This window comes from Homo sapiens, chromosome 16, assembly GCF_000001405.40.
Source record: "Homo sapiens chromosome 16, GRCh38.p14 Primary Assembly".
Taxonomy (NCBI): domain Eukaryota; kingdom Metazoa; phylum Chordata; class Mammalia; order Primates; family Hominidae; genus Homo; species Homo sapiens.
In genome coordinates, this window is record NC_000016.10 from 23,289,668 (window position 1) to 23,302,728 (window position 13,061).

Below are 13,061 nucleotides of genomic sequence, written 5' to 3' on the forward strand. Positions count from 1 at the left end.
TTTAACTTTTTTTTTTTTTTTTTTTTGAGGCAGAGTCTCACTCTGTCACTTAGGCTGGAGTGCAGTGGCACGATCTCGGCTCACTGCAACCTCTGCCTCTGGGATTCAAGCGATTCTCCTGCCTCAGCCTCCTGAGTAGCTGGGATTACAGGCATGCGCCACCACGCCTGGTTAATTTTTGTATTTTTAGTAGAGACGGGGTTTCACCATGTTGGCCAGGCTGGTCTCGAACTCCTGATCTCAAATGATCCACCCACCTCGGCCTCCCAAAGTGCTGGGATTACAGGCATGAGTCACTGCACCCGACCCAATATGTAACATTTCAATATGATCAAAACCTCACAAATGAAGTAAAAAGGCAAGAAACAGGCTGGGGGAAAACAACAGACAATGGATTTGACTTTTAGAACATGCACCCAGTAGAAATCTGCACGTCTCCGTTTTTTTCCCCTATAAAATGAGGCCGATAGTCTCTGTCTCACTGGGCTATTGTGAGGATTAAGAGAGTTAGTAGATAGAAAATGTTTAAGACGATGGCTGGCACAGTTAAGTGCTACCTAAGTGTAAGCACTTGCCACTTGCTGCTGCTACTATTATTGTTATTGAAATTATTATTAGCAACACTTATGTGATCAAACTCTAGGTTTTGTTTCTTTTGGAGTCAGGGTTTCACTCTGTCACCAGGCTGGAGTGCAGTGGCGCTGATCATGGCTCACTGCAGCCTCAACCTCCTGGGCTCAAGTGATTCTCCCACCTCAGCCTCCCGAGTAGCTGGGACTACACGTGTGCACCACCATGTCTAGCTACTTTTTCTGTTTGTTGTAGAGACCAGGTCTTGCTACGTTGCCCAGGCTGTTCTCAAACGCCTGGACTCAAGCAATCCTCTTGCCTTGGCATTCCAAGTGCCGGGATTACAGGCACGAGCCATAGCACCCCTCCTAAACTCTAGCTTTTAAGGCCCCATAACTGTTGACTTCTTCAAGACTGTTTATTTCTAAACCCCTACGTGTAAAAAATTTAATTTTAATTAAAAAAAATTAGACTTTCTGGCTCGTATTCAGCTGTAAACCCTCACTAGCTAGAAAGGTGTTCTCTTTTAGTAGACCAAACCTAGTGAAGGTCTCTTATTTTCCTTCCCAGCACGAACCAGTGATTTCAGGCCACTTAAGTAGCAATTAAAAGTTTCGAAAGTTTTGAAAGTGAATCTGACTCATTAAGCATACAATTGTCTGAAAGACTTGGTCATAAATGAAAGCAAGCCCCTCCTATTCTTTTTAAAGACATAAGCACTGTTTAATAGGGTTTTTAATTTTTTAATTACCTAAGTGATATCTGACCACACACCTTAAAAAAAATTCATAAATCTAAGGATCAAATTCTTCTTTACCACATTTTTTTTTCTTTTTTTTTTTTTGGCAGCATCTTGCTGTGTCGCCCAGGCTGGAGTGCAATGGTGTGATCTTGGCTCACTGCAACCTCCACCTCCCAGGTTCAAGCAATTTTCCTGCCTCAGCATCCCAAGCAGCTGGGACTACAGGTGCATGCCACCAAGCCTAGCTAATTTCTTGTATTTTTAGTAGAGACAGGGTTTCACCATGTTGGTCAAGCTGATCTCAAACTCCTGACCTCAAGTGATCCACCTGCCTCAACCTCCCAAAGTGCTGAGATTATAGGCATGAGCCACTGCCCCCAGCCCAACCACATATTTATCCCCATTCCCTCCCTTTCTTTCCAGAATTTGATATGTATCCTACTGTAATTTTTGTTCTACATTTTTTATATATCCATATATATATGTGTGTGTGTAAGTGTGTGTGTGTGTGTGTGTGTGTGTGTAGGTATACATACCCATTAAATATTTAGTTTGTATCCTTCTAAAACATTGTCTCTGCATTTATTTTATTTATTTTTTATTATATTTTTTTGAGACAGGGTCTCGCTCTGTTGCCCAGGCTGGAATGTAGTGGTGAGATAATGGCTCACTGCACCCATAACCTCCGAGGTTTGGGCGATCCTCTTGCCTCAGTGTTTCAAGTACCTGAGACCACAGGCACGCACCACCACCACGCAGCTAATTTTTTTTTTTTTTTTTTAGTAGAGACGGGGTTTCACCATGTTGCCCAGGCTGGTCTCCAACTCCTGGACTCAAGCCATCCTCCCACCTCGGCCTCCCAAAGTGCTGGGTTTACAGGCGTGAGCTACCGCACCCAACCTGTGTCTCTGCATTTATATAAATAAATATATATACCCATTTAAATGTATTCTATTGTTTTACAAGGTTTTGTGTAAATACTGTAATGTTATATTGTAGCCGTTGTTCTGCAACTTGTTTTTTTCTCTCACGCCCCACATCCAATTCTTCAGCAAATTACGTCAACTCTTCCTGGGCACTGTATCCAGAATCTGGGCACCTCCACGGCTTTCACCCTGCCCCCTGCTCTGCCCTTGGCACCCTTAGTTCATCTTAGTTCATTCTCAGCAATCCCTTTTATTTAATTTTATTTTTTATTTATTTTATTTCTTTCTTTATTTTTTTTTTTTTTTGAGACGGAGTCTCGCTCTGTCGCCCAGGCTGGAGTGCAGTGGCACGATCTTGGCTCACTGCAAGCTCCGCCTACAGGGTTCATGCCATTCTCCCACCTCAGACTCCTGAGTAGCTGGGACTACAGGCGCCCGCCACCACACCCAGCTAATTTTGTTTTTGTATTTTTAGTAGAGACGGGGTTTCACTGTGTTAGTCAGGATGGTCTCGATCTCCTGACCTCGTGATCCGCCCGCCTTGGCCTCCCGAAGTGCTGGGATTACAGGCATAAGCCACCGTGCTTGGCCAATCCCTTTTACTTTTTATTTCTTTGAGACACGGTCTCACTCTGTTGCCCAGGCTGGAATGCAGAGGTGCGATCATAGTTCACTGCAGTGAATCTCCCCGGCTCAAGCAATCCTTCCATCTCTCAGCCTCCTGAGTAGCTGGGACTACAGGCACACTGTACCATGCCTGGCTAATTTTTTGATTTTTTGTTGAGATGCATTTTTGCCATGTTGCCCAGGCTGGTCTCGAACTCCTGGGCTCAAGTGATCCGCCCACCTCGGCCTCCCAAAGTGCTAAGATTATGGGCATGAGCCACTGTGCCCGGCCAGCAATTCTAATAGAGTGAGACTTATAATGTTTGGGTGCAGTGGCTCACGCCTGTAATCCTAGCACTTTGGGAGCCCGAGGTGGGTGGATCACTTGAGGTCAGGAGTTCGAGACCAGCCCAGCTAACACGGTGAAACCCCGTCTCTACTAAAAATACAAACATTAGCGAGGCATGGTGCTGGGTGCCTGTAATCCCAGGTACTCAGGAAGCTGAAGCATGAGAATTGCTTGAACCCGGGAGGTGAAGTTTGCAGCGAGCCGAGACTGCGCCACTGTACTCCAGTCTGGGCAATACAGGGAGACTCATTCTCAAAAAAAAAAAAAAAAAAAAAAAAAAAAGTGAGACTTACAATCTTTCAGTCAGATCTACCCAAAAGAATTGAAACCAGTGACTCAAACAGTGAACACCCATACTCATAGGAGCATTATTCACAGTCGCCAAAAAGTGGAAACAAACCAAATGTCCATAAACAGATAAATGGACAAACGAAATGTGTGGTCTCTACACACAATGGAATATTATTTAGCATTTTAAAAAGAAGAAAATTCTGACACATGCTACAACATGATGGACCCTGAAGAAATTATGCAAAGTGCAATCAGCCATATACAAAATAACAAAAACGAGTTTGATTCCACTTATACGAGGTCCCTAAGGTAGTCAAAATCATAGAGACAGGAAGTAGAATGGCTGCCAGGGGCTGGGGAATTATTGTTGAATGGGTATAAAGTTTCAATTTGGAAAGAAGAAAAAGTTCTGGAGATGGATAGTGGTGATGGTTACACAGCCTTGTAAATGTATTTAATGCCTCTGAGATGTACACTTAAAAATGATTAAATGAGCTGGGCGTGGTGGCTCATGCCTGTGATCCCAGCACTTTGGGAGGCTGAGACATGAGGATCACTTGAGTGCAGGAGTTTGAAATCAGCCGGGGCAACATAGGGAGACCCCTTCTCTACAAAAAAAAAATTAGCCTGGCATGGTGGCATGCACCTGTAGTCCCCAACTACTCAGGAGGCTGAGGGAGGAGGATCTCTTGAGCCTAGGAGGTGGAGGCTGCAGTGAGCCATGATCTTGCCACTGTACTCTAGCTTGGGCAACAGAGTGAAACCCTGTCTTAAAAAAAGAAAAATGGTTAAATGGTAAATTTTATGTCATGCATATATGTATATTTTGCCACAATAAAAAAAATATAAAAAATTTTCCAGTCAGATTACATCACCCCAAACCTTCTCAAGGATCCCACCTCACTCTGATTCAAGACTAAAGTCCTGGCCAGATGTGGTGGATCATGACTGTAATCCCAGCACTTTGGGAGGCCAAGGCTGATGGGTCATTTGAGGCCAGGAGTTCAAGACCAACCTGGCCAACATAACAGAACCCCATCTCTACTAAAAGACAGGGTATTTTTGTATTTTTAGTCTCTACTAAAAATACAAAAATTAGCCACGCGAGATGGCGTGCAACCTGTGATCCCAGCTACTCAGGAGGCTGAGACACGAGAATCACTTGCACCAGGGAGGTGAAGGTTGCAGTGAGCTGAGATTGTACCACTGCACTCCAGCCTGGGCAACAGAATGAGACCCTGTCTCAAAAAACAAACAAAGAGACCAAAGTCCCTACACTGGCCTATAAGACTCTCCCCCAAGCTTTGTTCCCATCCCCCCATCACCTCTCTGAACCCCCCTCTTAGTCTCTTCTCTTTGTTCACTTCCTGTCTGGACACACTGGTCTTGCTACTCTTCAAACACACCCAGCACACACCCCACTGCAGGGCCTTTGCCCTTGCTGTTCCCTCTGCCTGTACATTCTTCTTCCAGATATCTGCAGAGCCAACCTCCATACCTCCTTTAGGTCCTTGTTCATGAGTCCCCTTCTCTGATCATCCTATTTAAAGCTCAACCTCAGCCAGGCACGGTGGCTCATGCCTGTTATCCCATCACTTTGGGAGGCCGAGGAGGGTGGATCACTTCAGGTCAGGAGCTCAAAACCAGCCTGACCAACATGGTGAAATCTCATCTCTACTAAAAATACAAAAATTATCCAGGCATGGTGGCGCGCGCCTGGAATCCCAGCTACTCGGGAGGCTGAGGCAGGAGAATCACTTGAACCTGGGAGGTGGAGGTGGCAGTGAGCCGAGATCACACTGCTGCACTCCAGCCTGGGTGACAGAGCAAGACTGTCTCAAAATAAACAAATAAACAAAAAAACTTCAACCTCCACTCCTCTCCTCTGGCCTGCATTTGTTTTTCTGTATAGCCATTATTACCATCTAGAAGTTCTTTATCTTGCTTGTGTTTTGTCTGTCTCCTCTCACTAGAATGCAAGCTCCACAAGGGTAGGAGTTTTTGCCTTGTTGACCGGTGTATCTCTAGTGCCCAGAACACAAAATCAGTGATCATTAATGTTTGGCCTTACTTCATTTTTTTTTTGAGACCAGGTCTCACTCTGTTACCCAGGTTGGAGTGCAGTGGTGTGATCATAACTCACTGCAGCCTCCAACTCCTGGGCTCAAGCAATCCTCCCACCTCAGCTTTCCCGAGTAGCTGGAACTGTAGGAGCGTGCCACCATGCCCAGCAATTTATTTTTTGTAGAGGTGGGATCTTGCTGTGTTGCCCAGGTTGGTCTCAAACTTCTGGGCTCAAGCAATCCTCCCATATCAGCCTCCCAAGTAGCTGGGACTACAGGCACATGCCACCATGCCTAGCTAAATTTTTTAATTTTTGTAGAGATGGGGAGTCTCACTTTGTTGCCCAGACTGGTCTCGAACTCCTGGCCTCACGCAATCCTCCCACCTCAGCCTCATAAAGTGCTGAGATTATAGGCATAAGCCACTGCACCCAGCCCTGGCCTTACTTCATTCTTTTTTATTACCTCAGAGAATTCAGCAGTTTGAAAATGACAGAATATATATTATCATTCATTTCACCCCTGCACGTTTAGGAAGTTCTTAGGGTAGTACAGTGTTAGAGCCTTTTAAAGTCTCCAAGCCTCAACTGAACGTTCTCAGGGTTTCCAGATGCAGCTGAAAACCTGCATGGCAAAATCACAGTTTGTTCCCAGATCCTCCTCTTCCCCAGGTCAAGGCCCTAGGAGCTGATTAAATTTTTAGTCTGAGCGAGCGGGAAGAGAAAAATGGAAAAGTATGCGCTCTGAGCTGCCAGGTGAGTCCTGAGCGTCAGGCTGGCTGCACCCTGTGTGATCTGGGGCTCTGCGGTTGGATTTCTGGGAACAATGTGAAAAAACTGCCAAGCTTGGTAGTGGCTGGAGGCTTTTGTGGCCAATTGGCCGGGCTGAAGGAGAAGTCGGGCTGAAGGAGAAGTCAGACTGAGGTGACCCAGACGTACCAGGAGTAGAGGCCCCACACTCAGTTCCCCTTGGGGCAGAAACAAGAGGCCCAGGCTGGGTATGGGACTCAGGGAGGTGGGGGGCGCCACGGGGATCCAGAGAACTGAGGCCATCCAAGCCAAGCAGGAATAGGAGCCTCTCATCTCACCAATTCTCCTGACTGCTTATTTTCCAGAAAATCGGGAAATTGGCCTTTGTATGTTATTTTCTGATTTTTAAACATTGGTTTGAAAATCTAAAATGTACCAGGTTAACAAAAGCTGGATCTCTCCGGTCCCCTACCCACCCCACTCGAGGGCTGTCAGTTTGCAACTGTGCAGTTTAGCAAAACATTTCAGAACATGGACTTTGGTTTTGTTCTTTGGGCTTTGTGGCTGTTAGGGCAAGTTCCTTGACACCTCCAGGTCTGTGAAATGGGAACAAAAATTTAAAGGGCTGGGAAATATTGGAGACAGAAAGAGGGATAACAAAAAGGACATGGATCGTGTCAGCTGGCGTGTTTTGGTCACAGGCAGGGAAGCACCCGGAGCTTGCTGTGGCCTCGGGCAATGAGATCGAAGATCAGAGGACGGGCGCAGTGCCTCAGGCCTGTAATCCCAGCCCTTTGGGAGGCCAAGGCGGGCAGATCACGGGGTCAGGAGATCGGGACCATTCTGGCCAATATAGTGAAACCCCGTCTCTACTAAAATACAAAAAATTAGCTGGGCTTGGTGAGGCGCACAACTCAGGAGGCTGAGGCAGGGGAATCGCTTTAACCCAGGAGGCAGAGGTTGCAGTGAGCCCAGATCTCGCCACTGCACTCCAGCCTGGCCACAGAGCAAGACTCCATCTCAAAACAAAAAAAAAAAAAAAAAGAGAGAGAGAGAGAGAAATTGAAGATCAGGGATCTGCCTTTGATCAATGGAATAAGGATTCCACCAACCCAGCCAGAGACCCAGCGCCTGGGGGCCTCCGGACCTGTAGGTGGCACTGCATCTCTGAGATTGTCCTTAACCCTCTGTCTCAGGAGGGTAGCACATGCCTCAAGCCATGGCTTCCCTTTCAGGACTTAGGCAGGCAGTTGCCTATCTGAGCCTCACTCACTGTTGGACTTAACATTTGTGCTTGTTGTTGTTTACATTCTCAGTTTAGAGCCAGACATTCCAGTCTGTCAAGATTCTGCAAATGGATGTATTAGCTATTCCTCCTCACTTCCTTCTTTTGCAATTTGGATACAATTTTCACCAGAATCGGCCAGGAGTCTTTTGGTTGCAAGCAACAGATACCCCAAGATGGCTTAGCAAAAAGGAAATTTATAGTCTTATGCATCTGAAATGTGCAGGAGGTAGGGCTAACTTCTGGTATGTTTTTGGTTGGGTCAAACAATGATATCGGGACCTAGTTTCTCTTTGTCATCTTTCTGGGTGGAATGCATTATTATACAGCCTCTTCCAAAATATAGCTCCCCATCTGAACAACTCCCAAGCCAGCAAAACTCCCTGAGAGCTCAATGAAAGAGTCCTTGAATAGAGTTTCACCAACCATAGTTAATCTGACTTGGGTCATATCCCATATATGAACAAATTACTATCCTAAGAGGAATACAAAATGCTAATTAATAGGCCTGGGCCATATCCACCCTGAATGGGGTGGTAATGAATGAAGTCAACACCCCTAAGATCAAAATACAGATGAGGGGTGAAAAAGGAGTGGTGACCCCAGAGCTAAACTAAGTGCAGTTACCTGAAGTAGAATGAATGGATGTTTGGTGTCCCCAACTCTCCCACACCCCCAAAAAAGAATATTCACCTTGTCTTCTATGCAAAGTATTGTGTGAGATGGTGGTTATAAAGGGTAATATGGCTTCAACATCTAACATCTCATGGATTTCTAGGGCTAGATTGGCTGATCTCATCTCCTAGAATTGCACTAACCCAAAGAAAGCAAAAGGACTGTCTTTCCACAATACTACAAAAATATTCAATAGAACATTTTTTGGGGGGTCCCTGAGAGACCTCCCAAACCAGTCATTAACCCTTTCAGACGTGAATTCATCTGACTGTGCCATAATTTAACCCATGAATCTTCATCCATAAAAAGAGTTTTTTAAAATTTGGCCAAATTAATGCAGGGCAGGTTCTTGGCTTCATTCAGGAAGGAATTCAAGAGCCAGCTAGCTGGTGGTGGAAGAAAATGCCTTATTGAGGCAGCAGCAGTGTTAGGCTCTGTCCCTGCTCCTGCAGAGCAAGGCTACCCCATGACGGCCAGAGCAGCCTAGCAGTCATATTTATACCCACTTTTAATGACATGCTAATTAAGGGGGCAGGTTATTCAGAGATAGCTAGAAAATGGGCGGTAACTTCCCGGCGTTGCCATGACAATGGTAAACTATAATGGCACTGATGGCCTTGTTTCATGGAGAGGTGCTGTTGGTGCCTCTTCCGTGTTTGGCCAGTATTCAAACTTATCCAGAGTCAAGTTTTGCCTACTTCCTACCTCAAAACGATCCACAGTTCTAAACAGCTGGCTAAAGTCCATATGGATGCTGTCTAATGGTGTCAGACTGTAGACCCTAATAAAAAGGGGAAACAAGTTGGTTTTCTCCTCAGGAGGCCAAGTTAACTACAGAACACAACACTCTTTGTTCATAGTTGCTTAAACATTCATGCCTTAAAACTTGCCAGCCTAACATCAACCAGTCTGGAGTTCCCAGACATCCCAAAACTCCAACTCTCCAACAATGGAAATCATGACACAGAATGAAGATGTCAGTTGTATAAAGCTGGTCACAACAGCACAGTTCCACAGGGGACTCATTCTAAAACTGTCCAACAGGGCCCCAAAAGAAAACCTTCAAAAATAACGTATTGGGTTGAACCATATGAAATTGCTATGTTCTTTTTTTTGCTTTTTGCTTTTTCTTTTTCTTTTTTTTTTTTTTTTTCGAGATTGAGTCTCACTCTGTCACCCAGGCTAGAGTGCAGTGGCACAATCTTGGCTCACTGCAACCTCCGCCTCCCGGGTTCAAGTGATTCTCCCACCTCAGCCTCTTGAGAAGCTGGGATTACAGGTGCGCACCACCATGCCTGGCTAATTTTTTGTATTTTAGTAGAGATGGGGCTTCACCATGTTGCCCAGGCTGGTCTCGAACTCCTGAGCTCAGGCAATCCGCCCACCTTGGCCTCCCAAAGTGCTAGGATTACAGGCATTAGCCACCCCGCCCAGCCGAAATTGCTATTTTCATAGGTCAATAATAGTCAAATATCAACAATTTTATATGGTCACAACCAAATACACCTGGGAAGCATTGATTTTCAAAGTGAGGTCCACAGACCCCTGGGAGGTCCCAGAGATCCTTTCAGGAGAAACTGTGAGGTCAAAATCACTTTCATAAGAATCCTAAGATGTTATTTGCCTTTTTCACCTGTGGACATTTTCCCTGACAGTGCAAAAGCAATGGTAGGTCATCACTGGTCATTACAGAAATGCAAATCAAAACCACAATGAGATACCATCTCACACCAGTTAGAATGGCAATCATTAAAAAGTCAGGAAACAACAGATGCTGGAGAGGATGTGGAGAAATAGGAACGCTTTTACACTGTTGGTTGGAGTGTAAATTAGTTCAACCATTGTGGAAGACAGTATCGCGATTCCTCAAGGATCTAGAACAAGAAATACCATTTGACTCAGCAGTCCCGTTACTGGGTATATACCCAAAGGATTATAAATCATGCTGCTATAAAGACACATGCACATGTATGTTTATTGCGGCACTATTCACAATAGCAAAGACTTGGAACCAACCCAAATGCCCATCAATGATAGACTGGATAAAGAAAATGTGGCACATATACACCATGAAATACTATGCAGCCATAAAAAAGGATGAGTTCATGTCCTTTGCAGGGACATGGATGAAGCTGGAAACCATCACTCTCAGCAAACTGACACAGGAACAGAAAACCAAACACTGCATGTTCTCACTCATAAGTGGGAGTTGAACAATGAGAACACATGGACACAGGGAGGGGAGCATCACACACCAGAGCCTGTCAGGGGGTGGAGGGCTAGGGGACGGAGAGCATTAGGAGAAATACCTAATGTAGATGATGGGTTGATGGGTGCAGCAAACCACCATGGCACGTGTATACCTGTGTAACAAACCTGCACGTTCTGCACATGTATCCCAGAACTTAAAGTATAATAATAATAAATAAAAAAGACTGAAAAAAAAAGCAATGGTGGGTCAAGTTATATGAAGCTGAATTTACTTCATTTACTTCAACTAAAACAACAGATTGCAGCCGACTGAATACGAGAATCCAGCTGTCTCTTATTAAGCCAAGCATTAAAGAGATTTGCAAAAATGCTAAACAGTGCCCTTCCCACTGATTTTTTTTTTTTGAAAAATATTTTTCAGCCAGGCATGATGGCTCACACCTGTTATCTCAGCTCTTTGGGAGGCTGAAGTGGGAAGATTGCTTGAGGCCAGGTATTTGAGACCAGCTTGGGTAACACAGCAAGACTTTGTCTCCAGAAAAATAAACTTTTTTTAATTAGCCGGAAGCAGTGGCACACACACCTTGTAGTCCCAGCTAAGGCAGGAAGATGGCTTGAGCCCAAGAGTTTGAGGCTGCAGGGGTCACACCACTGCGCTCTAGCCTGGGCAACAAATTGAGACCCTGTCTCTCTTTACCAAAAAAAGAAAAAAATTGTAAAAAAGCCTTTTATTTATGTCAACAAGTAGTGGGTTTATTATAGTGTAATGCATTAATAAATATTTTTAGGTATCAGTTTTAGTTTCTCATATGGAAAGTATCATTATATAAACAAAATAACATATATGTGTTAAAAACACGTGTGTGTGTGTGTGTGTGTGTGTGTGTATTCCACATAAACAAAAAGTCTCAGGTATTCTGTAATTTTTAAAAGTACAGAAGATTCCTGGCTGGGCATGGTGGCTCACACCTGTAATCCCAACACTTTGGGAGCCCGAGGCGGGTGGATCACTTGAGTCCAGGAGTTCCAGACCAGCCTGGCCAATATGAAGAAAACCCATCTCTACAAAAAACACAAATTAGCCGGGCATGGTGGTGCATGCCTGTAATCCCAGCTACTAGGGAGGCTGAGGCAGGAGAATTGCTTGATTCCGGGAAGTGGAGGTTACAGTGAGCTGAGATGACACCACTGCACTCCAGCCTGGGCAACAGAGTGAGACTCTGTCAAAAAAAAAAGAAAGAAAGAAAGAAGAAAGAGAGAGGTAGGGAGGGAGGGAGGTGGAGAGAGAGAGAGAGAAAGAAAGGAAAGAGAAAGAAAGAAAAGAAAAGAAAAATACAAAAGATTCCTAAGACCAAAAATTTTGAGAATGACTGCATTAAGACAATCTATGGAGAAATATACAGGAAACTAAGTGTTAAGGATATTGGCAAGAAAGTGGCTGAAATGATAGTCCTGAAACCTTGACTTGATGAGAAGAGAAAAGAAAAGGAAGGGAAGATTCGAGGAAATGCGCAAGGCCCGCCAGTGCCCTGAGGCTAGAGCACAGGTGTAGTGGGCACTCCAGAGGGGGCCAGAGTTCCCAATCTCGGGGTGGGCTGTTTGAATTTCTAATGCAAAGATAGGACCTATCGGGGATGACTGAGATCTGGGAGGTCTCCACCTTGGTGGAGGTGGAAGAGGCGGAGGGAAGAACGTTCCTGGGAAAAGTGGCTGCATATGTCCCCCTAAAGTCACCAACTTGCCCAGAGGACACTGTGTCTGCAGGGGTGTGGATGTGATGGGGGCGCGCCTGTACTGGTGAGCGCGATGCTTCGCCTAGGTGAACGGGACAGGTACACGCGTGGGGTGGGATGGAGTGTTCATATATGTGGCTTGTGATATGTACTGAGGGGACGTGGGGTACACTCGGATGAGGGGTCTGTGGACATATTCGTGGCGCATGTGGGTATCGCTGGTGTCCCGAGGTGGGGAGGGAGAATGCGGAGCGCGTGCGTGCGGGGGGCGTCCAGTGTCCCTGAACCTGGCGTGTGGGGGCTGGAGCTTATTGGGAGGCGAGGGAGGTGGCCAGGGGAGCCGGGACCGTGCGTGTGGCCAGGCCGGTAGCGCCCAGTAAGCTCCACCCGCGGGCGCTCCCCGTGCTTCCCCGCCCCTGAACCTGCTCCCTCCCAGTCGGTCTCGCCGCGCTCGCCGGGTGTCCCAGTGTCACCAACACTCGGCCGCCGCCGCCAGCTTGGCGCGCACCGCCGCCTCCGCCACCGCCGACAGCGCGCATCCTCCGTGTCCCCGCTCCGCCGCCCGAGCAGGTATGACGGCGAACCCTGGCTCGCACCCGGTCTCCCGCGCGCTGCCCGGAGTCCCTGCGCGCGCGCCTTCTCCTGCCCAACCCCGGCCCGCGAGCTCCTGTCCCGGCCTCAGTTTCCCACGGGAGGGCGCTTGGGTGCCTGTCTGAGGCGCCTGGGACCCGGCCTGGGGACTGAACGGGTTGGGGGCGGAGGGGAGAGCTGGAGGCTGGGAAAAGCCCCCAGGGTGCAGAAGGCAGACGGGGCCAGGGTCCCCGGCGTGTCTGGGACCTCAGAGACGGCGGCAAAGTCCTG

At 46.6% G+C, this 13,061-nt stretch overlaps 1 protein-coding gene across 4 annotated transcripts in view, besides 3 other annotated features; it reads left to right on the forward strand.

Moving 5' to 3' along the window:
* SCNN1B (sodium channel epithelial 1 subunit beta) overlaps positions 1-13,061 on the forward strand; it is a 103,064-nt gene that overhangs the window by 11,437 nt on the left and 78,566 nt on the right. For 3 of the 4 annotated variants that reach the window (XM_011545913.3, NM_000336.3, NM_001410900.1), the window contains exon 1: positions 12,635-12,770. The exons of the other annotated variant lie outside the window; for it this stretch is intronic. The gene's annotated coding sequence lies outside the window, so the exon portion shown is untranslated. Of the gene's footprint in view, positions 1-12,634; positions 12,771-13,061 lie in introns of those variants that run through there. 4 annotated transcript variants of the gene reach the window in all.
* Positions 3,262-3,341: an enhancer, noted in NCBI's record as "active region_10577". NCBI's record gives its function as "activates an Ori minimal core promoter by ATAC-STARR-seq in GM12878 lymphoblastoid cells {active_cell/tissue: GM12878}" and the evidence as "EXISTENCE:reporter gene assay evidence [ECO:0000049][PMID:35858748]".
* Positions 11,833-12,350: an enhancer, noted in NCBI's record as "H3K4me1 hESC enhancer chr16:23312821-23313338 (GRCh37/hg19 assembly coordinates)". NCBI's record gives its function as "activates a minimal SCP1, AML or CMV promoter by ChIP-STARR-seq in primed H9 embryonic stem cells {active_cell/tissue: H9 hESC(primed)}" and the evidence as "EXISTENCE:reporter gene assay evidence [ECO:0000049][PMID:30033119]".
* Positions 12,351-12,867: an enhancer, noted in NCBI's record as "H3K4me1 hESC enhancer chr16:23313339-23313855 (GRCh37/hg19 assembly coordinates)". NCBI's record gives its function as "activates a minimal SCP1, AML or CMV promoter by ChIP-STARR-seq in primed H9 embryonic stem cells {active_cell/tissue: H9 hESC(primed)}" and the evidence as "EXISTENCE:reporter gene assay evidence [ECO:0000049][PMID:30033119]".